We start from the raw sequence: 24,467 nt of genomic DNA, 5'->3' as shown, positions 1-24,467 counted from the left end.
GGATGTTTCCAGTACTGTTTCTCTTCCACCAGCCTTACACTTTTGGCTCATATCAAAATTATACCAGTAGCCAAGAACTTTGTGTCCCAATATAGAGTCCATTGGCACAGTGCACGGTATGAGTGTTCTATGAGCCAAACCTATACTGGTATAGCTAACAATAACCTAGCTATACATACATGGAATACATAAATATATCCCATTAAATCAAAATCTAATGCATCTTCAACTCAGCATTCCTTTATCTGAATGGAGAAAAAAAAATCCCGAGGCCATTCCAACAGAAACAGATATGAAGGGAACTTGGAATAGGAGACAGTGTTGTTAATTGACTTCAGCTAAAATACCATATTTTGAAGAGTTTGCAAATATATACAACCAATTCATTATTACATTTTATTCAGGATTAAACTGTAGAGCAAAAAGAGAGAGAAACACATAAAAATAAGACAATACAACTAGTGAAGAGTGAGAGAACCAAAGAGGTAAAATAAGAATTGAGACCTGATAGAGTACAGAGCTCTCAGCTAGGGATAATAACAACCATAACAATAATTAAAACTTTTGTGGGATCTCCTATGTGCTAGTATGTTTTATATCCCAGAGAAAAGCCTCTATAATTTTTATCTGTTATTATACCATGCTAAAAACTCTTAAGCTAATTTGCCATCTTACAGGCATCAAAACTCTGATTCACAATTGAGTGTAATTTTCACTTCTCTGAATCTGAACTCCTGGTGTGAACACTATCACATCTCTACTTTAACTGATAATAAATTTGAGGCTTGATTCTTACAGGTCATGTGATTCATGCCCAAGCCATTTGTGAATCACAGGCCAGTGATGCAGAAAGCTTTCCAAGGAACCAGATGTATGTGAAAATAACCAGGCAAGATTTCACTTCAAATTAAGGAAGTATTTATTTTATACCTCCCCTGTGATACATTATTTCACAAATATTACCTTAATAGGCTTTACGATAAATGCTTTCACAAATATTTCCTTTACACTCCTCAAACAACAATGAATCTCCAGTCATGTGTGTTAATTTTATGGAGACAATGTTACAATCAAATGGAGTAAACCCTTCTGGCAAGCTATAGTATTTTGAATATTCTCTCCAAGTCTCATTCATAACTATGAATTTAATAATTATTTAAAAGTCAGAATGCTTTCAAAAGCTAGACAATCATATGTAGAAATTCATTTTGTTTTTCTTATTATCTAGTTCAGGCTGGCAACCTTTCTGTAGAGGGCCAAATATTTGCAGGTCGAATAGTCTCTGTCACAGCTACTTAATTCACAGACAATGCAAAAATAAGTAGGACTGGCCTTGTTCCAATAAAACTTTATTTACAAAATCAGACATGGAACAGACCAAATTTGGCTCATGGAGCTCTACAGATCCCTGCATAGATAATTGAATCTGAAATTTTAAAAATGACTGATAAGACATCAGACAATACCTGCATTTAGTTAGTAATTTAAGTTGTTTTTCAAAGGAAATTTTTCTATTACAATTGCGATGGACCCAATGTATAAGTTCCCCTGAAATAAGTAAGTTGAAACAACTAACTTCCAATGTAATGGTATTAGGAGGTGGGGTTTCAGGGAGATGATTAGGTCATGAGGACAAAGCTCTCAGTGCCCTTATAAAAGAGGCTCAAGAGATACACCTTGCTCCTTCCACCATGTGAAGACAAGGAGAGGAGACACCTTCTTGGACTTCCCAGATCTAGAACCCTGAGAAATGAGTTTCTGTTGCTGCCACTCTGTCTATGGCATTTTGCTACAGCCGCCCCAGTCAAAGACAATAATATTTGCCTAGGGAGTGACTTGAAATACTATTTAGTATATACCACAACTCTAGTGTTTATAGTCTAGAATCATTTAAACAAAGTTATGTTTTCCAAAAATACTTTTATGGCATTGAATTAAAACTTTGGAGAACTTAAATAGTGTGTAAATTCCACAAATATATCTAGTGATGATAATAATAAAGCAAAAGTTTGAGGATGTGTGAACAAGTAGGACCACCTGTCTAAGTAAGCACTATGGCTCTCTCTAAAAGAGGGTAAATTGCATGAACTCAGATTTCTTCTTTAAATGGGAAATTGTCATGCTTAAAACATGTTATTGTTTAAACTACCAAAGCTCAAAAAAAGCGGCTCTGGCATTTAATGTGTTAATACTTTTTATATATTGAATTGGGTCAATAATGCATCCCTGTCTATTTCTGTGTTTTCCTGTTTTTGGTTTGTTTGTTTAGTTTTGTTGGTTATCTACTAATGGGATTAAAGTGAGGCTGTGCTGTCTGGTCAACTTAATAAGCAGTGAGATAATGGCAGAGTTTGTGACTTTTTCTATTGCTAAAAGTAAATTCATACAAACAAACATCCTACCAAAGCCTATAATTATTAAAGAAAAGATACTCAATGTCTATAAAAATATAAGTGTTCTAGAAAATAAAACAAAAATTTGGGGAAAAAAACCCTTACTTTAAATTTAGGAAAAACAGATGTTTTTCTTTGTTTATTTCTATGTCTAGAACCAATAGCCCTGGATTGAAACAATAATGATAAGATCGATAATAATTATAATGGTATTTACTCTTCTATCAGTATGGGTTTTATTTTGTAGATACTTGAGAGCTAAATGTCCCTCTAATATTAAATAGTCACTAACGGCAAAACTCAAAGCCCGTTTAGTATACAAATGATTTTTTTACAGGTTAAAGAACAGTTTACTAGAAATTGTATGCATAAAAATTGTTGTATAGATCGTATTTTTTAGCTTATATTTTTAAGTGTGAAATAAATGCTTTCCATTTAAGCAAACTTTGAAGATTTCCTAGAAAAGTAATACTAGGATGAGAAATTACTTTTGGGACTATTGGCATTCACCTATGTATTAGTCAAGATTCCAGGTGATTTAGTTTCTTAAACTTGTTAACATTTTTTCCTAATAATTTCAACTTTTATTTTAGATTCAGGGGGAAATATGCAGGTTTGTTATATGAGTATATTGTTTGATGCAGAGGTTTGGGGTTCAAATGATCCCATCACCCAGGTAATGAGCATAGTGCCCAAGAGCTACTTTTTAAACCCTTGTCCTGCTCTAACTCTAGCCCCTATAGTAGTTCCCAGTGTCTGTTGTTCCAATTATGTCCAAGAGTATACTCAGGATTTAGCTCCCACTTATAAGTGAGAACATGCAGCATTTAGTTTTCTGTTCCTGCTTTGATTTGCTTAGGATAATGTCCTCTAGCTGCATTCCTGCTGCTACAAAGGACATGCTTTCATCGTTTTTTAATGGCTGCATGGTATTTCACAGTGTATATGTACCACATATTTGTTAACCAATCAACCATTGATGGGTGCCTAGGTTGATTCTATGTCTTTGTTATTGTGAATAGTGCTGAGATTAACATGCTAGTGCATGTGTTTTCAGTAGAATGATATATTTTCTTTGGGATATATACCAGTAATGGGATTGCGGGGTCACATGGTAGTTCTGTTTTAATTTATTTGAGAAAACCCCAAACTGCTTTCTACTATGGCTGAAATAATCTACATTTCCACCAGCAATGTGTAAGTGTTCCTTTTTTTTCCATAGACTTGTCAAAATCTGTTATTGTTTGTCTGTTTATTAATAGCCATTCTGACTGGTATGAGACGGTATCTCATTGTGGTTTTGATTTGCATTTCTCTAATGATCAGTGACAGTGACCTTTTTCTCATATGATTGTTGGCCACATGTATATCTTCAGAAAAGTGTCTGTTTATGTGCTTTGCCCACATTTTTATTGGGTTGTTTTTTTCTGGGAAATTTGTTAAGTTCCTTATAGATGCTAGATATTAGACACTTGTCAGATGCATACTTTGCAAAAATTTTCTTCCATTCTGTAGGTTGTCTGTTCACTTTGTTGATAGTTTCTTTTGCTGTTTAGAAGTTCTGTAGTTTAATTAGATCCAATTTTTTTCAATTTTTGCTTTGATTGCAACTGCTTTTGTCATCTTTGTAATCAAACCTTTACCCATTCCTATGTCCAAAATGGTATTGCCTACGTTGTCTTACAGGATTTGCATAGTTTTGGCTTTAAATTATTTTAATGTAATTTTTCTATATGGTGTAAGGAAGGAGTCCAGTTTCAGTCTTCTGCATATGGCTAGCCTGTTTTCCCAGCACAAATTATTGAATAAAGAGTCCTTTTTCCATTGCTTGTTTTTGTCAGCTTTGTCAGAGATCACATAGTTGTACATGTGACCTCATTTCTGGGTTCTCTATTCTATTCCATTGGTCTATGTATCTGTTTCTGGACCAATATCATACTGTTTTGGTTACTGTAGCCCAAGTATAGTTTGAAGTCGAGTAGCATATGCCTCCAGCTTTGTTCTTTTTGCTTAGGATTGTCTTGGCTATTTGGGCTCTGCTTTCATTCCACGTGAATTTTAGAATAGTTTTTTCTAATTCTGTAAAAACGACATTGGTAGTTTAATATGAATAGCATTAAAACTAGTTTTATTTGAATAGTATGGACATTTTAACAATATTGATTCTTCCAATCCATAAACATGGAAAGTTTTTTATTTGTTTGTGTTATCTATGATTTCTTTCAGCATTGTTTTGTAGTTCTATTGTAGAGATATTTCACCTTCTTGTTAGACGTATTCCTAGGTTTTTTATTTTGTGTGTGTGTGGCTATAGTAAATGGGATTGCATTCTTGATTTGGCTCTCAGTTATTTATTGATTATAGAAATGCTACTCGTTTTAGTGCGTTTTTTTTTTATCCTGAAACTTCACTTGTGTTGTTTATCAGTTTTAGAAGCTTTTTGTCAGAGATGTTGGGTTTTCTAGGTAAATAATCTTATCAGTAAAGAAAGATCGTTTGATTTCTTGTTTTCCTATTTAGATACCTTTTGTTTCTTTCTCTTGCCTAATTGCTTTGGCTAGGACCTCCAATACTATATTGAATAGAAGCAGTGAAAGTGGGCATCCTTGTCTTATTCCACTTCTCACTGGGATTGGTTGCAGCTTTTCACATTCGGTATAATGTTGGCTGTGGGTTTATCATAGATGGGTCTTTTTATTTTGATTTTTATTTTTTGATGCCTAGTTTGTTGAGAGATTTTAACATAAAAGAATGTTCAATCTTATCAAAGGCTTTTTCTACACCTATTGAGATGATCATATGGCTTTTGTTTTTAATTCTGTTTATGTAGTGAATCATTTATTAATTTGCATATGTTGAACCAAACTTGTATCCCAGGAATGAAGCCTACTTGATCGTGGTGTATTAACTTTTTGATGTCCTGCTGATTTTTGTTTGCTGCTATTTTATTGAGATTTTTTGCATTTATGTTCATCAGGCATTTGGGCCTTAAGTGTTTTTTTGTTTGTTTCTTTTTGGTTTTTTGTTTTTTTTCGTTGCCTCTGCCAGGTTTTGGTATCAGAATAATGCTGGCTTCATCAAATGAAGTAGGGAGAAGTACCTCATCCTCGAATTTTTGGAACAGTTTCATTAGTATTGATACCAACTCATTTGCATGTCTGGTGGAATTTGGCTGTGAATCCCTCTAGTCCAGTGCTTCTATAGTTGGTAGGTTTTTCTATTATTATTATTACTGATTTGATTTCAGAACTCAGTATTGGTCTGTTCAGAGTTTCAACTTCCTCCTGATTTCATCTTGAGAGGTTGTGTGTTTGCAAAAATTTATCAATTTCCTCTAGATTTTCTAGTTTGTGTGCATAGAAGCCTTCAGAATAATATATGAGGAACTTTTGCATTTCTGTGGGATTGGTTGTAGTGCCTCCTTTGTCACTTCTAATTATGCTTATTTGGATCTTCTTTGGTTTATTTCTTTGTTAATCTAGTTAGTGGTATATTGATCTTTTTTTGGTATCCCTTCAAAGAACCAACTTATGGTTTTGTTGATTATTTGTATAGATTTTTGGGTCTCACTTTTACTCAGTTTCACTCTGATTTTATTTATGTGTTTTTCTTCTGCTAGCTTTAGGGTTAGTTTGTTCTTGTTTTCATAGTTCCTTTAAGTGTGACATTTGAGATTATTAATTTGAGATCTTTCTAGCTTTTTGACATAGGCATTTATCATTATAAACATTCCTCTTAACAATTCTTTTGGTACATCACAGAGATTTTGATATATTGTGTCTCTTTTCATTTATTTTACAGAAGTTTTTCATTTCTGCCGTAGTTTTGTTGTTTACTCAAAAGTCATTCAGGAGCACACTGTTTAATTTATATATAATTGTTTGGTTTTGGTAAATATTTTTGGTATTACTTTCTATTTGTGTTCTACTGTATTTCAAGAGTATGATTGGTATAATGTTGGTTTTATTTTTAAATTTTTTGAGACTCGCTTTATAGCTGAGCATGTGGTCAATATTGAGGTATGTTCTGTGTGCAATTGGGAAGAACATATATTCTACAGTTCCTGGGTGGAGTGTTTTGTAGATGTCTATTAGGTGCAATTTGTCAACTGTCAAATTCAAGTGCAGAAATTCTTTTAATTTTCTGCCTCAATGATCTATTGCTGCCAGTGAGGTGTTGAAGTCTGCCACTGTTTTTGTGTGGTTGTCTAAGTCTTTTCATAGGTCTAGAAGTACTTGTTTTATGAATCTGGGTGCTCCAATGTTGGATGTGTATATATTTAGGATACTTGGATTTGTGTTATGTTGAATCACTTATCATTATATAATGCCCTTCTTTGTACTCTTTTATTGTTGTTGGTATAAAGTCTGTTTTATATGACATAAGAATTATGACTCATGATCTTTTTCTTCTCTATTTGCATAATAGATCATTCTCTAACCTTTTAATTTGACCCTACAGGCATCATTGCATGTGATATGGTTATCTTGAAGACGGCAGGAGGATGAGTCTTGTTTTTTATTCAACTTCCAACTCTATGCCTTTTAAGTGGGTCATTTAGACCATTTACATTCAAGGTTAATATTCATATTTGAGGTTTCTATCCTATTGTGAAGTTGTTAGCTGGTTGTTTTGCAGTTTTTGTTGTTTGGTTGTTTTATAGGGTCTGTAGGCTATGTATTAAAGTATTGTTTGTAGTAGCAGATGTAATTTTTTTGTTTACATATTGATAACCCTCTTTTGCTTCTCTTGTAAGGCTGGCCTAATGGTAACAAATTCCCTTGGCACTTGCTTTTGTGGAAAATATTATATTTCTCCTTCAGTTATGAGTTTAGTTTGGCAGGATATAGGATTCATGGTTGGAATTTATTTTCTTTAAAAATGCTGAAAATAGGCCCCTAATGTTTCCTGGCTTGCAAGTTTTCTGCTGAGAGGTCTATTGTTAGCCTGGTGGGGTTCCTATTAAAAAAGATATTCATTGTAGTTTGAAATTTCTTAAATGAGTGATCCTAATCCAGATACTCTGATTGATTTCTTTTTAAGATGATCATCTCTTTCTTCATTTTCTGGATTGCTTTAGAAGTTTTTTGTGTTGATTCTCAATGTCTTGGATCTCATTGAGCTTCCTTGCAATCCATGCTTTGAATTCTTTATTTGTTCTTTCTGAGCTTCCATTTTGGTTAGTGACCATTGGTGGAGAGCTAATGTGATCCTTTGGTCATGTCACTACATTCAGATTTTTCATGGTGCTAGAATTCTTGCTCTATTTGCCTCTCATCTGGAGACACTGGCACTTCCATTTTCTGTAATTATTTTTGTGCCAATATGGGCTTTTCTTTCATTCCCTGTAATATTACTGTGGTTTCATTTATTTTCCTTTATCTTCCCACCCCTTCTGGGTTGTTACTGTAGACAATGTTGGGGAGGGTCTTTTGGCTTTGCTCTTGTAGCCCTATGCACTTCTCTCAGCAGGTTTCATATTGGGCTGTATAGTTCAACCTACAAGCCAGTGCATAGCTCTTATGTGTGAGAGCTGGCTGCAACCAATATGACTGAATACATACCTGATCCTTATTTACCAGGAAAAGCTCTCATTGTTTCAGGCAATGGGCTAATCTTTGAAGATTATAGTAGTCTGATCTCCCCACTTAACTGTGGTCATCTCCCCAAATAACTCTGGAGGAATGGAGAGGGCAACATGGGTGGGCCCAGACTGGGCAGGCCAACCTCCAGTTCTCTTGATGGCAGGCACAAACACTAGTGCCAAAGGAGAATCCACTGGGCAGCTACCAAATACCTAGAGGTGTGCCTAGGCTTGGAGCTGAGAAAACTCCTTCCTTGGCCCCAAGTTCTGTGCTTGGAGAGTATGGGGTGACCTAAACTCCTTATCCAGGAGAGTGGGTGCTCCAGATTCCTTGAGATCTGCCTGGATGTGGAATGTATAGGGTCCCCCTATACTACAACTTGCACAGGGAGGGTGAAATGGCTCAGGTGCTGATTTGGGCTGGTGTGTGCTTTGAATTCCTGGTGATCTGCCTGGGCATGGAGTGAAGAGGGCCCTACTTCACCACAGTCTTTGCACAGGAATTATGGGGCAGATCAGGCTGCTGATCCAGGCAAGTGAGTGCTCCAAATGCCTGGAGATATGCCTGGGCTAGGAATGGAGAGACCTCCTCCCACACCAAAATCTCTGTATAGGAAAGGTGGGGCAACTCAGGCTGCTAAACTAGGAAAGCAGGTGCTCCAAATGCATGGAGATCTGCCTGGGCATAAAGCACAGAGGGCCTCCCTGCACAAGGATCTCCGCACAGGAAGTATGGGGCAGCTAGGCTACAAGTTCATGCAAGTAGGTTCTCCAAATGCCTGGAGATTTGCTTTTATCAGATAGATGCCATCATGCAGGCTTTTTGCCTGCATTCTCCTCCCCAGGATCAGGGGTGTCCTTTACAATTCCAGTAGATTCTCCCTGAATTAAGGCTCACATAATTTATCTTTATGCGCTATCTTGCTTTTTCCAAGTGGCTGAGACACACTAAAGGCCTCTAATCCACTCTCTTGGGGAAAAAAGACACTCATTAACTTTAAGAAAAATAGTATATAACATTTATATTGGGCAATTTACCTAGAAATGATTAGTGCATGTCTTTCATGAACATAATAGAGTGCTAGATATGAGGGAAAGGGTTATTAGAGTGCTCTTTCTCTTGGATTATGATTTTGGATTAATTTATTGGGCTACATAGAATTTGTATATTCATAGAAACACATGGGTAATTTGTAGTATAACATCTTGCTGGGCAAGAGTATAGTGTCACTTTATGTTGTCTCTGTCAAAATGAGAGTGTAAAAGTATGCAATGGTATCTAATGTTAATTGAAATTGCAAACCCCTAGTAAAAGGCACTGACAGCTGGTATATTGACTGTGTATTAAAATTGTGAGGAAATCTCTGAGAATCCTCATCTCACACACCACACCATATTTCCTCTATATGGGATTTATATTGGATTTTAGTTTTTCTTGTTGTTGTTGTTGTCATTTTCCCCTTTAAAATGTCACTTCCCAAAGTGCAGCATTAGGCAGAGAATGACTTCCAGAAATGACATTTCAATTTTGCTGATATACTAGCATTTGGTTTTGATTTTTTTTCCTTTTCAAAGCATGGCATCTAAGGCATGACAGTGCCTTAAATAAAATTGCATGGGAAAAGATATGGTAAAACATCAATAGCAAAGTCATTTCCCTTCTACCAAATGGAAGTTATCCTTTTGCGTATGCTCAGATATTGGTACTTGGCAGCCAGCACAATTAGGTGTTCTGTGCACAAGGAAGGGAGTGGTGGAATACTGAGAAAAAAACAATTTCTAATATTTTAATGCTATATGATTACAGAATAACAGAACTTAAAATTTTATGCCACCTCATTATGTTTTACTAGGTTTTATTTTAAAATATAAGAGATATGATCCATGTTAGAATACTTTCTATCTAACACCCATATAATACTACAGAGACTGGCATAATGTTCATGTTTCTGTTGGCTCAACTAAAATTGCTCATAGGCAGCCTTCAAATCCCCCTGAGTTTGATACTGTGTTACATAATGGTCTCAGAACATTAAGGATTTGAAGAGGAAAATTTATATCTTATGCTTCTTCATTTGACAGAACCAGTTAGAATGCTAACAAATACGAAATCTCTGGAACCACCACACTATCACAAATAAACCATCACAAATGAAATCAAACTCATTTGAGCAAGCACAAGACACATTAAGTAACAAGAGCTATTGCTAAATGTAAAAATTTTCTTCCAATCCCTTTCACCCTGATGTGAAAATCAAGGCATTGTGTTTGTATTAACCTTTTTATTTTAATTTTTTATTAACAACTTTAATTCTAGGTTCTCAGCCAGAGCCACTAAATTAATAAAAATAAAGGCCTTTGGAGTAAAACAGATCTGGAAGATCAAAGGGAGTCAAAATCCCTGGCAAGCAGCAGACACCAACATCAGCCATTTAGTAAAAAGCAGTGCTAAAAATGTTAATGTGGTGATAAATATTTAAATTTAGCTTGTTGATAAAAATGCCTAAAACATAAAGCAGATAAAACTTCTATTACTGTGAATACTAAGAAAAATATAAGATAAACTGGTACTAATAGAGAAAGAAGCTAAAAGAAGTCTTGTATAGGAACACTTAGATTTCAGAATTTTAGAGGTTTTGTAGTACATTAGGATGAATATATTTAAAGTGTTAGGGAATAGGGAACAAGGATAGATTGAAGCATAGAAAGAACTAAAGATAAAGATGCTATAAAGAATATTGATGAAGGTGTTTGCAGAGAATCCATTGCAATGTAGTGCCTCGTAGATATGTTTCCAAATGTAAAAGTCAAACTAACTAAAACAAACAAAGAAACAAACAAGAAAACTAATGGATAACAAATGTACTAAGCAACAGGTCATACTGAATTACCATTAGCTGATAAAAGTAATGTGGTGACTTCAACTCAAATTGTACTTATTACCATCATAAACAATTATTATTTTAGCAATTCTACCATGTAGGAAATGGTGCTATAAGAAAGTGCTATAATATTAAATTACTGTCTAAGTCTTTTTTTATTTTAGGTATTCTCATTATGTTGCTATTATGGGTTAATTTTTGTATTTTTTAGTAGAGACGGGGTTTCACCATCTTGGCCAGGCTGGTCTTGAACTCCTGACCTCAGGTGATCCACCCACCTTGGCCTCCCAAAGTGCTGGGATTACAGACGTGGGCCACCATGCCCAGCCTCAGCATATCTCTTATATATTTGTTTTTTGACCTTTTATAGTAGTTGCCCTAGGGCTTGCAATAAACATTTACAACTAATCCAAGTCCACTTTCAAATAACACTGTTCTATAGGTTGCTGCACAAGTAATTATGGTTTGTGCTATTAGAAGCAATGGCAAAAAAAAAGCAATTACTTTTGCATTGAACTAATATTTTGTAAATATTTACCTTTAAATGCATGTACCTTTAAATAACATAATTATTTTGATTCCTACCATCTGTTCCTTGTATCCTTGCTGCCATTATTTTACTTATATATTACCATATATAAATGCACATCTGTAATACATTGTTGCTGTTATTTTGAACACACTATTATCTGTTTGAGCAATTAACAATAATTAAAATGCAGTATATATATGTGTGTATATATATATATATATATATGTATGAGAGAGAGAGAGAGAGATGAAGTCTCGCTCTGTCACCCAGGCTAGTGTGCAGTGGCACAATCCCAGCTCACTGCAGCCTCCACTTCTTGGGCTCAAGTGATTTTCCTGCCTCAGCCTCCCAAGTAGCTTGGACTACAGGTGTGCGCCACCATACCTGGCTGATTTTTGCATTTTAAGTAGGGACAGAGTTTCACCATGTTGGCCAGGCTGTTCTTGAACTCCTGACATCAGGTGATTTACCCTCCTCAGCTTCCCAAAGTGTTGGGATTACAGGTGTGAGCCACCATGCCTGTCCAAAGTTTATATTTTATCTCAATACTTCTTCATTGTGCTTCCTTGATTTATGTAGATTTGAATTTTCTGAGCAATATCACTGTCCTTCTAAAAATATTTCTTTGAACATTTTTTGCAAGGTGATACTACTGACAACAAATTGTCTCAACTTTTGTTTATCTAAGAAAGTTGTTGTTTACTTTTAAATAAAGACTATTAATTCAATTTTGAAAGATATTTTGCAGAAAACAAAATCCTATGTTCTCTTTTCCCCTTCTCTCAACACTAAATATTTCACTCCACTCTCTTCTTGCTCACATGGTTTCTGAGATGAAGTTGGATATAACTGTTATCTTCATTCCTCTGTAGGTAAAGTATTTTTCCCTTCTGTCATCTTTCACTATTTTTATCTTCGATTTTCTGTTCTTTGGAAATGGTATGTCCAGTTGTAGTTTTTGGCATTTATCTGACTTGGTCATCTCTGAGCTTCTTGGATCTGTGATTTGGCGTCTGACAGAGAAATTCTCAGTCACCATTGTCTCAAATGTTTCTTCTGTTCCTTTTCCTTTTTATTTCCATTACATGAATGTTATACCTTTTCCAGTTGTCCCACAGTCTTGGATATCTTGTTCTTCTTTTTTTTTTCCATTATTTCTTTTCTTTGCTTTCAGTTTTCAATGCTTGTATTCATATGAACTCATCAGAGATTCTTTCCTCAGCTGTGTCCTGTGTATTAATAAGCCCATCAAAGGCATTCTTCATTTCTGTTACAGTGTTTTTGATCTTGAGCATTTCTCTTCAGTTCTTTTTCAGGATTTCCATCCCTCAGCTTACATTGCCCATTGTTCTTACATGTGATCAACTTTATCCATTAGAGACCACATTGGTGTTTTACATTTCTGTTCTGAAATTCCAACATCCTTGCTAAGTCTGGATCTGATACTTGTTATGTCTCCTCAAATTGTGTTTTTGACTTTTTGGCGTGACTTGCAATTTTTTTTTTTTTTTTTTACTGATTGTCGGATATGGTGTACCGAGTAAAATGAACTGTTCTAAATAGGCCTTTAGTAATATGGTGTAGTGGCAGGGGAAGGATTTTAGTTTAATGATTACGTCTCAGCTTTTTAGTGAGTCTATGCGTCTGGATTGTCAACTTTACAAGTGTTGTTCTGTTTTGTTCTCCCGCTTTGGTAGGACAAGATGACTAGAGTGGGCTGGAGTTGTGTATTTGCCTTCTCACAGGTAGAAAACTAGTGGAGCAGGAGACAAGCATTTCTCTTCCCCAGGTCAATTAGGCTCTGATGATAGTTTTGGTTAATTCGTTTCTTCTGAGGGCAGGCCTTGATAAGAGGAATAGAGCTCTGTGGTATATTTCAAAGAGGTTTCTTTTTCCCTTTCTCTCCTGAATGTACAAGTTAATTTTTCTCTGATATTTGCTGTGGAAAATGGTCAAATTTGTGAAGGTGAATCTCAAAATATTGTGAAGTTCCCCTTATGAGTTAGTTTTTCTGGAATGTTTAATTCTCAGTCTTGTCCTCACTTATTCTCCAGAAATTCATCAATTAGAGTTCAGGTTTCATACTCCATTTCTTTTTCTCATTGGTGTTTCTTCTCATGAATCTCCACTCTGGAGAGATGTGACTCCCTGTATTCTCCAAGTTGGGAGGCAGCATCATACTCAGTGACTTTCCGTCTTATAAGAGTTGTTGATTTTTTAGTCCATTTAGCTTTTTACTTGTTGATAGGATGGAGTGGCAATTTCCAAGTTCCTTATGTGTGGAAGTAGAAACCAGAAGTCTCTAGAAGCTTTTAATTTTTTAGTATAAGAGGTATACTTCTCTGAGGATATAAGTCAGCAAACCCAATGTTTTCTCAATGGAATCAGTAGCAAAAAGGGACCATGAAGGAGGGGGAGGGCAGTGGGCTATGAATAGATTCAACAAGTCATCTCCTTAGCAAAGCTAGACTGACTCATTGTTATGTGAAAAACTGACACTTAGTGTTATCAGTAGCAAACAGATTCAATTTCCAATATGATTTCTCAGCTATATAATGGATATGGTAGTAGCCCCCACCAAATAGGGTATGAAAGCAGTGCCTGACAATAGTATAAATATTACATATTATTACACTGGAGTGTAATACACAAGAGTAGAGGTATACATTTGTTATATTGTTATACATTTGTTATATTGTTACATTTGTTATATTGTTATATTGAAACTCTTCAGCTGTGGAAGAGTATCAGCTTATCCTTGATGAAACAGATACTTACTAAGATAATTTTACTTGACAGTGCCTCTCATGTTTCTGCTAGCACCATCATCTATGGGTTTAGCAAACATGTTACATTTGTTAAGGTAATATAGAATCAGAGATGACTATATAAATGAATCCACTGTTTCCTGATTTTTCCACACTGAATGGGAGAAGTTCATGGATAACCGGAGCAAATATTCAGACAGGACTTAACAAGTCACATATTCCATAGAAATATAGATTTTGGTTATAAAGTGCATTGAAGAATCTCTCAACTCACTTAAATGATGGCTATAGGAAGCTAAAATGTGAAATGGACAGTAGAGTAGAAAATTTACAATACTATTTGTGGTTTAATGACCAGTTGTAGAATGGGGAATAGAGCCTCTAAGTTATTTCCATTTCTTTTCTTCCCTCCTTTTCTAACAGTAACTGCAAACAGTGTTGTTGTTATTAACCTTTATGATTTAATTACATATTGTCACATATAAATGAAGAGTTCCTGGGCATGAATGTAGTTATTGATACGAACCTCATATATTCCCCTTTGGGAAGAGGTGGATCCATGTTCCATTATCCCAGTTAGGTGAGAGCTATCTTTTGGACACATAAGAAAGAGGAAAGAATATCAAATAGTGCGAATTTGAAGAAGGCAGGATTCTGCTTTTTACTTTTTTTTATGTTTTTGAGATGGAGTCTCACTCTGTCACCCAGGCTGGAGTGCAGTGGCACGATCTTGGCTCACTGCAAGCTCCACCTCCCAGGTTCACACTGTTCTCCTGCCTCAACCTCCCGAGTAGCTAGGACTACAGGTGCCCCCCACCACGCTGGGCTAATTTTTTGTATTTTTAGTAGAGACGGGGTTTCACCATATTAGCCAGGATGGTCTCAATCTCCTGACCTCAAGATCCTCTGGCCTCAGCCTCCCAAAGTGCTGGGATTATAGGCGTGAACCACCACGCCCAGTCCCCTGCCTTTTATGCTTAAAGCCAAAGTGGGACAGAGCTCTCTCCAGTTACTGTGACCTCATGCCCTAGACTATGGTCTTGTCTCAGCTATCTAGAAGTTCACAACCGTCTTTGGGTCTATTGATAATAAAAGAAAATCTTAGGATATTTCATGGACATAATGTCCACTGAGAGAGGCCAGCATCATCTGAATGACCAGTCAGTCAATAGCACACGTTTCCTAACATAATTCCTCATCAGAGTGTTCCTAGGGTATAAAAAAGGACAGATTTTTGGCTGCCTGATTTCACTTGGTTTCTTCCCATATACTGAGCCTGGCCCTCCACAATTACCCTTCTGATTCTGTGAGATTAATATTGTTGCATTAAGTTTGCCTTCTGCTTAAGTTAATCAAAGTTGATTTTCCTTGTTACTAATCTTTATTAATAAAGATATGATGTTAAATATAAACTATGAAGAGTCTGGAATGTGGTAAACATACTATCAGTAATAGTTCTTATTTCATTCTTTTTATTTACTTTTAACACCAGGAAAATAGTATAAAACTCTGTTAATAACACTTTAAGTTAAGATAACACGTACAATTAGGGTAACACTAGCAACTCCAACAAACATGGCATAAAAATATATAATTGCCAATATATGATATTTTATTTGTAGCTCACATATATTCCAAAATGAGTATTTTAAATCCTTAGCTCTTCCCTAACCACTGACTGAGGAACCTAAATTTCTTGTATATTATGACTCTGCCAATTTTTGTGCTGAACTCTTCTACGTAAGCTGGTGGAATAAAAAAAGGGCATGGAGAATCTCACATGGGACATTTCCATTACCTGGAAATATTGTTTGCTGCTTCTGCTCACATTCCATTTTTTGGAACTCAGTGTTATGATCACACAAAAATGCAGGGTTAGCTGGAAGGTCTACCTTCCCCAGCCCACTGACTCAAATGTTAGTCTCTTTTAGCAACACCCATACAGACACACCCAGGATTAACATTTTGTATCCCTCAATCCAATCAAGCTGACACTCAATATTAATCATCACACCCTGTTACAATTAATAGCCACATTTTGTATACATTCTAGCAACCACTACTATACAAACATTGTATATAACCTAACTCATTAAATCATCACAACAATGGGAAATAGACATTAGTTTGCCTACTTTAGATATGTTGTATTTTAGGTAGATAATTTAATTTGTTTACAATCGTGTGGCTTTGTATCAAGAGAACTGAAAAAAAAAAATAGACACAGATGGTCCTGCTTAAAAAACTGATGCTTGTTATACTGATGCACTACTTTTTACTTTTCAGCAAAGCTGACATTAATCACATCAAACAAGTTTAAAAGCAAGATCACAGTTAAATCAGCATTATTATTGACCTAAACCCTTTTGCCAATAGTTTCATGGTGAAATACTCAAACCATATGTTTCTTTCTAAACTTTATTAAAGAATAATTATTTGGACCAGAGACACATGAAGTGTCAGAAGCATGCATGAATGCACAGCTCCTAATTTTGTTATCTTATTTTCAATCTTTGAGTTATTTCATAATAAAAATCACTTAACATATGCCACTTAAAAATCTTAAATTTAGTTTTAGGTCCAAAATGTAATCAATGAATATTTTGTGTATGTCAAACTGAGGAACGAGTATCAGGAAAATCCTGATAGTTTAAGTTATAATATTTCAAGGAGTAAACATACAGGTACAAAGGTATAATACAGTTAGCCCTCCATATCTGTGGGTTTTATATCCATGGATTCAGCCAATCATTAGTCAAAAATATTTCCAAAAAATTGTGTCTGTAGTGAACGTGTACAGACTTTTTTCTTGTCATTATTCCCTATTCGATACAGTATAAAAATAATTTACATAGCATTTATTATACCATATTTGGCATCATAAGTAAACTAGGGAGGATTTAAAATATATAGGAGGACATGGGTAGTTCATATGCAAATAATACACAATTTTATATCAGGGACTTGAGCATCCACAGATTCTGGTATTTATGGGAGGTCTTGGAACAAATTCTCCAGGGATATAGGGAGACTATATATACTTTTTTCTAACCTCTCACCAAGACTATTCAAAATTATTAGACCATTCACTTGCAAAAGATGCTTTTCTTAGGAGGTTATTTAATGGTGTGTTTCAGTTAATTCCTTAGTATATAGAGAATAAGTTTCTTTTGCCATTTATTAGATGATAGTAACTTTTATTTTTTTCATTGTTTTGACAAGGAAAGATCAGTATACCTTTCACATCCACAGATGAAAAAATATAGTAAAATGAAAAAAGGCTGAAAAAATTTAATTCGCTTTTATAAAATATAATGCTCACTTTGTGAAAGGAAAGAAAGTCTACAGAGGTGCAGCTCAGTGACAACACCTTAAATACATTTTTATTCAGAAAAAAAAGAGCGTTGAAAGAACACATTTTCTCAATGGCAATTGAAACTTACATGGAATAAATGTAAACTGTCTCTCCCTGAAAGGAATACCTGATAAAAGAATAAGTCTCATTACCCATGAAGGAGATGGCATAATATAATCCCAAAGTCTTCAATTTTAAATAATAGATTTTCAGTAGGCTTCTTCAAACAATAGCTCAGAAAGAATAGAGTCCTCTTAAATACAGATATTACAAAAATCACTTTATGGAAAGACGGCGTTTTTTTGAGGAGCAAAGTTTTCCATTCAGTTTCTTTCAATTCTGGGTTTACTTTGCAGACTCTGAGATCTTGCATATTGAAAGGAATTCATATGCAAATACCATAGACCTTTGCAGCTAGACTTAAAAATATGTAAATTGTAAGGCTTTCTGTTCCATTCAGTCAGAATCATCATGTGCTCTTCTTTCTTGATGTAATTAATAGAGAAAAATTATGGATTTTTTTTTTTTTACTTAATTTAATATCTTGAAATACTTTTCTTACCTCTACATCTATCTTTATTGTAGGGCTGTCTGTGATCTGTAGAGAAGGAAACTATTCAGAAATGAAAAGGAGAAACTAAAATGTTAACCAACAACTCGCCTTTTTTTAATTCCAGTTTTTTTCCTAGTATAAAATCAGTAAATCATTTTTGATCTACAGTCAAAATTCCCATCTCAATGATTAACATTTCCTGATTAATTTGAAAGCCTTTCCTTATGTGATTAAGTTTCTCACTTATTTACTTTTTTCCTTTTATGTTGGAGAAAGACATTATATTAGAAATAGAGTTTAAATGCCCTTTCCTCAGCTCTCCTGTGGGGCTACTGACAACAGGCACACCCACACTCACACATATACACACACAGATTACGATCTCAAATATAAGAGGAAATGACACTTCTACTACGATGATTTGTGGAAAGGATTTGTCCTGTCATCTGTAAAGCATCTTGTTATCACTTTGCTTTGCTTTCCAAGTACTGATGAAAATCTAAATTGCATCTTTATATCTGTAAATACAGACTGGAATAAAAAAAAGAATGTAACTCAGCAGTTTGGTGATTGCACTGTGGGCCTGGCTCTCTGTAATGCTCCGAATTCTTCCTAAAGTAACCACAGACCTTGAAAATATAACTATTCAAATAGGTATTGTAAACTCAAGTGGTAGAAAATGAGTTTTCAATACCGTTTGCTTTATTTGAGGGCTGGGCCATCTGCTTGCTAGTGTCAGTTTTGCATGGATGAATTTAAAATCGAGAGGCATTGCTCAAGATTTTTTAAAAAGCATAACCTTGTGATAAAAAATGCTCCATTGAAGTCCACTTTGCATCTGGCATACATTCTGTGGCCTTTATCTGACTAGCTATTGACAGAAAATTTGAATGAGAAAGGCTGTATGGGACTTAATTAGTCAGTAACAAATGAGTGTTGCAAAATGCCAATATGTCATTAACACCTGAACAAAAATTAGTTGATAGGATTTATCAAGTTACCCACTAATTTCCACTTCCAAAACTCCCAAGAGTTCAATAATTAGGTGGTTCTTCCTTTTTAGAAAATGTAATTCTCAAGGTTAAGAGGCTCCTGATAGGCCGCTTGATCATTTTTACTCTTATCCCTGTAGAATCAGCTTCAGTGTACAACTATAGTGGTCCCACTCAAAGATTTTCCACTACACACAAGACTATGGCTCACCCTCAGTCTTCATAGTCCCAGAGAAATGAGTCCTAGGAAACTAGGCAAAGAGAACTGGCCAATGTAATACCTGCACTCTGTGATTCACCAAACATAATCTCAATAATTGTTTTACATAAAAACTTTAAGCTCTTTTTGTGACACCATGTTTGTGATACCTCAGGCAATGAACTACTCACTCAGCCTCTTCAAGCAGGAGGCTGACCAGGTAGGATATTCAGTCAAACTTAACCTGATTGTTTTGCCCCATGTAATCCTTTTTCCTTTAATCTATCAGTGAACAAATGGAGGATGGGTAGCTGCATCATTCTCAAGATAGCTTTATGAACTCACACTCAGCAGAGTGTGAGCTATATTTATTAAATATTAGTGGGTGAAATTATTTGGTTTTTATACATGCATTTAAAAATCCTTGCTAACATTACATCTGTTCTATCTAACCCATCACTTAGAGCTTATTGACGTAATGAAAAAGTAATCACTTCAAAAGAGGCAGTGGAGAAGACATTATTAAGATTTGCTATGAATAGTTCTATAGAAGTCTTTATGTAAAGATATGCTTTCATTTCTCTTGGGTAAATGCCTAGGAGTAGAATGGCTGAGTGGCAGAGTCATAGGGTAGGTGTATAATCAAATAATAATAAGAATGATAATAAAACCTGCCCAACTGGAGTATTATCTTTGAACTATTTTTTATATTGTTAAATAAACTTTCAGAGCACATTTTTATTTGTTGTAGGGTATTACATCTTGTGATTATTGCATAATTTGTTAATCTATTCCCCAATTGGGTATTTAGGTTAGTGCCACATTAAAACTCTAACATATATAAGCAAATAATATTTTTATTAGGCATCTGCATCTGTGATTATTTGTTTAAAATATGTTGCTATACATGGAATCATTGGCATTATTGAATCAACAGGATTACATGTTTTAAGATTCCTCTTATATGGTGTCAAATAGATTTTCTGAAAGGTTGCAAAAATGCATATTTTCAATGAGTGAGAGAGTATATCTCAATTAAACTTCTACATCCCCCCTCAAATTTTTTTTCTGAGTTTGATAGAATTTTAAAATTAAAAGGAACTGCATACTTCTTTTAGCCCAATTCTTTACCTGGTCTTCGAATATCCTCTGGAGCATATTTATGAAGTGCCTTTTCAGGCTCTGCCTAGATAGGGGAGTGTATGTATGGCTTTCAACTATTGTTGGACTGCATTAATTATTGAAAAGTGTTTCATATCAGTGAGCAGTGGTCTGCCTCATTTTAGCAAGTATCGGATGCATAAAAACCACAGTTCAGCTGAGGTTTCAGGCCAAATCTATGTAGTTCATGTGCAGCAGAAGTTAAGACATGAATATTTGTTCTGCTTCAGAAAAATTTCACCTTTATATGGCCTTCACTACATCTCTGGCTGAATACCAGGTTCTCTCTTAGTAGCAAGAACCATTTTCTAATTAATAGAATAGGAAGTTGAATACAAAACAACAACACTAGCTCAGTGTATGGTACATTTCAAACATTCAATAACCATTGGATGCTATTGTTATATAATCGCTATAGTATTTATATGAATGGAATATGTATTTATAATTTCTATTCTTAATTTTGGAAAAAAACTGTTGTAAGCATACTTGCTAATTCCTCTTGTCCATTTTTATTCATTGAATCCTTTTAACTGGTAATTTGCTCTGAAGCAGTGGGAAAAAGTGCCGTTGCTAGGGTGATGGTTAATGTTGTGTGTCAATTTCACTATGCTAAGAGGTACCCAGGTAGTTGATCAAGTTGTTCTGGATATCACTGTGAGGGTACTTTTGGATGAGATTAACATTTAAATTGGTAAACTGAGTCAAGCAGATTGCCCTCTCTAGTGTGAGTGGATATCTTCCAATTAGTTAAAGGCCTGAATAGAACCAAAAGACTGACTCCCCACTAAGTAAATGAGAATTTGTTCTGACTGTTTTTTAAAAGAAACATCAGAATTTTCCTGCTTTCAGATTCAAACTAAAGCAACCTTTAAACTGGAATGAAACCATCCCCTCTCTTAGGTCTCCACCTTGCTGACATACTCTGCAGACCTTGAGCTTGCCAGCCTCCATAATACACACACACACACACACACACACACACACACACACACACATATTCTATTGATCCTGTTTGTCTGGAGAACCCTGATTAATACACCTAGTTTATCAAATTCAACAGAATGCACTAAGCACTGTATTTCATAGTGTGGAAAACACAGACATTTAACTGTGCCCCAGCTTACACAGATTTAGCCATGTCAGAAACCTAGAGATTAAGTTCTTTGCTTCTTAACCAACAACCCAAATTGGATGAATGCTATACAATAATTTCACACACAAAAAAATGAAAGCAATCTATGTGAGAAAATCATGTGGATAGTTCTAAGAGGAAAACCCTATGCTCTCATTCCCTATCCTAAAAGCCATTCAATTCTTCTTGATGTCCGTTTGGACTGAGGGCCTTAATACTAGTTTTAAGTCAGATTAAGTGGAACTAGCAAAAAAAGCCTTCTAGTACTGATATAAAATTCGTATTTCAAACAGTAAGAAAAATTACTAGGTAGTGAAAAAAAAAAAAACCTCAGTTGTCTCTAATTACTTGCTTCAAGAAACCAGCTGAAAATCTGAAGCTAAAATAGACAATAGAACTTCACTCAACCTTGATGTCAACCTCTCACCCATTCCCTCTGAGAAAAACCTTATCTGACTTTATAGAAGGAAAATTGACCACCTTTCCACAATGACCTTTATTTTTTTTAGTAAGTTTCTTTTTAGTGATGAGATAATCCCCCAATGTGTCAAAAGGTTGTTTTCAAAGAGACATTAGTTTATTTTGGAGAGGCACAAAGCTTTACTAACACTGCTCTGGATTAAATGCATTCAAATACATTATCTCCTTTGAAATGTATTTTTTGAAATGCTTTGCAGCCATCCTGCATTATCTGTCCTGAATGGAAATTAATACACACTCCTCTGTGCATTCAAAAGATCTGTATATATCCTTCTCATAAGTTATTTGTATTATTATTATTATTTCAAAGAGTATATCAAAGTGGCTTCACTGAGATATGTTAAAAATGATAATTTTTCAGTTACATTATTTAACTAGATGACATTCTATTGAAATTTATGTTGGAATTTTAAATAAATTGTATACTACTTTAAAATACTTTCCTACCTTCGAGATAATCTTTGTTTAAAAAAGAAAGCGGAGAACAAAAAGACTTTATTTCCAAGTTTTCCTTCTTGTAAATAAACATGAAGTATGCTCTACACAGTTTCTAGGAAGTTCTTGGAACTATTCATTCCTCATTATTTCAATCAACATATATTATGTGGATTCTAGGTACAAGGCACTGTATTTTATCATTATATTTTGGTGTTATATTGGGCTTTTATTGTAAAGAGTAGGGCCCATCTTTAAGTAACACGGAATACATATTTTATGTGAATTTTATTGATCAGAAATCTTTACATTCTGGAAATTTACAGCTTTACTTTTATCTAAACTCCCTCATTTTTCGAGAGCTTTTTCTAAAACCAATTAATTCTTTCATGCCACTCCTTTTCCTGAAAATAAAAAGGGATTTTTAAAACTATATTTAAGACAAGTTCAAACTCCTTACAATGCGTAAAACTTACCTCACGACTTCATCATTTCAACCTCATCTCATATACTTGTGTGTGTGTTGTGCGTGTGTATAAAATCTCCCTCTGTTTGTTGTCTGTATCTTGCTTATGGAAGTCTCATCCTTTAAATATCAGTTGGGCATCACATCTTGACAAGGATCACATTTCCTTTCTTGGGCAATAGCATTGTTCCCTATCAAATCCTTATTAGAGAGCTCACTGCGTTATTTTGTATATTTTTATTGGTTGATTAATACTACTTTTTTTCATAATCTATTAAATTCTTGAATATAGACATTTTGCCTGGGGCATATTTACAAACCTAGAAAGGCCTAGCATATAGTAAACATTTAACCAATGCATATCTGAGTGAATGAAAGAATAAACGAATGAATGAAGAAGTATAGGAAAACAGAGATCCTGACAAGTTTAGTGATTTAGTCGAAGTCAGAGAGTGTAGCAAAATCAGAGTTGGGATTCCAGTTTTTATATCTCTTGTGCAGAGCTCACATTTCTACTTAGGTAACGATGGGTGACATTTTCTAAATTCATACACAGCAGAAAAATATAATATCCCTACCTTTGGGCCGGTAGCTTTAAACAAAAAAAAAGATAAGATGGATAATCAAAAAGGAAAGGATTTTTATTCCCAGTAAAAATTTGATTGAAGACCACACAGCTGCCTTTGAGGCCATTCATGTCCACACTTTGCATTCTCCATCCTGGAGCAGAAGTCAGCTTTGCTGGGGAGGAAGAACTCCCCAGGACGACAAATGTAAACGAAGATTCTTCCCATTGCCTGCCCAGCAATAGAGTGTCACTTTTTGCAGTGTGTGCTGTGAGACTGACGCAGGCTTCGCTTCTTTGGGGTATGGCAGTGTGTGAAGGTGTGACACTAGCTACTAAAAAAAATGTCCTACTAAATCTTCTATGACCTTTTCTTATCAGTACATAGGCAACTGGATGCCCAGAGATCCCAAGGCTCCAGCTCTAAGCTAAAGTTCAATCAATCAAATAATCAGACAAGAATTTTATCTTTATCTTTCTAGAGGGCTTAAGCTTATATCATCTGGAGAGAAATGGACAAATTTGATCATAAATAACTAAATAGGAGGACAGTCACTATTTCATTCATATGACAAACTTATTCTGATATATTATTGTTTAAACATATATGCATAATTTATACATAAATGTATGCATATTAGTGATATAAGTAAAAAGCAAATATATGTAAGACTAAAATTCAAAATTGTAAGATTTTTCTAAGGGCCTAACTGCTAATTGTAGCCCCTCCCGAAGTGCAGCTAAATGCTGATTCATATTTAAGAGTAATATCAAATGCAAGATGCAGTTGTTTTTGTTAACTTAAGAAACAGTATATTTAATCAGGTAAATGATTACAACTTAAGTTAACATTTATATTAACAGTGAGTTTAAAACTATACGAGTTTGCAATTGTTGAATGCAAAACTCCAAGTGATTATTCCATTAATGTGTTCTTTGTTTGTAACTAGTATTTATTTCAATAGGC

Source organism: Homo sapiens, chromosome 4 (assembly GCF_000001405.40).
Source record: "Homo sapiens chromosome 4, GRCh38.p14 Primary Assembly".
Lineage (NCBI taxonomy): Eukaryota > Metazoa > Chordata > Mammalia > Primates > Hominidae > Homo > Homo sapiens.
This window is presented reverse-complemented; position numbering follows the sequence as displayed.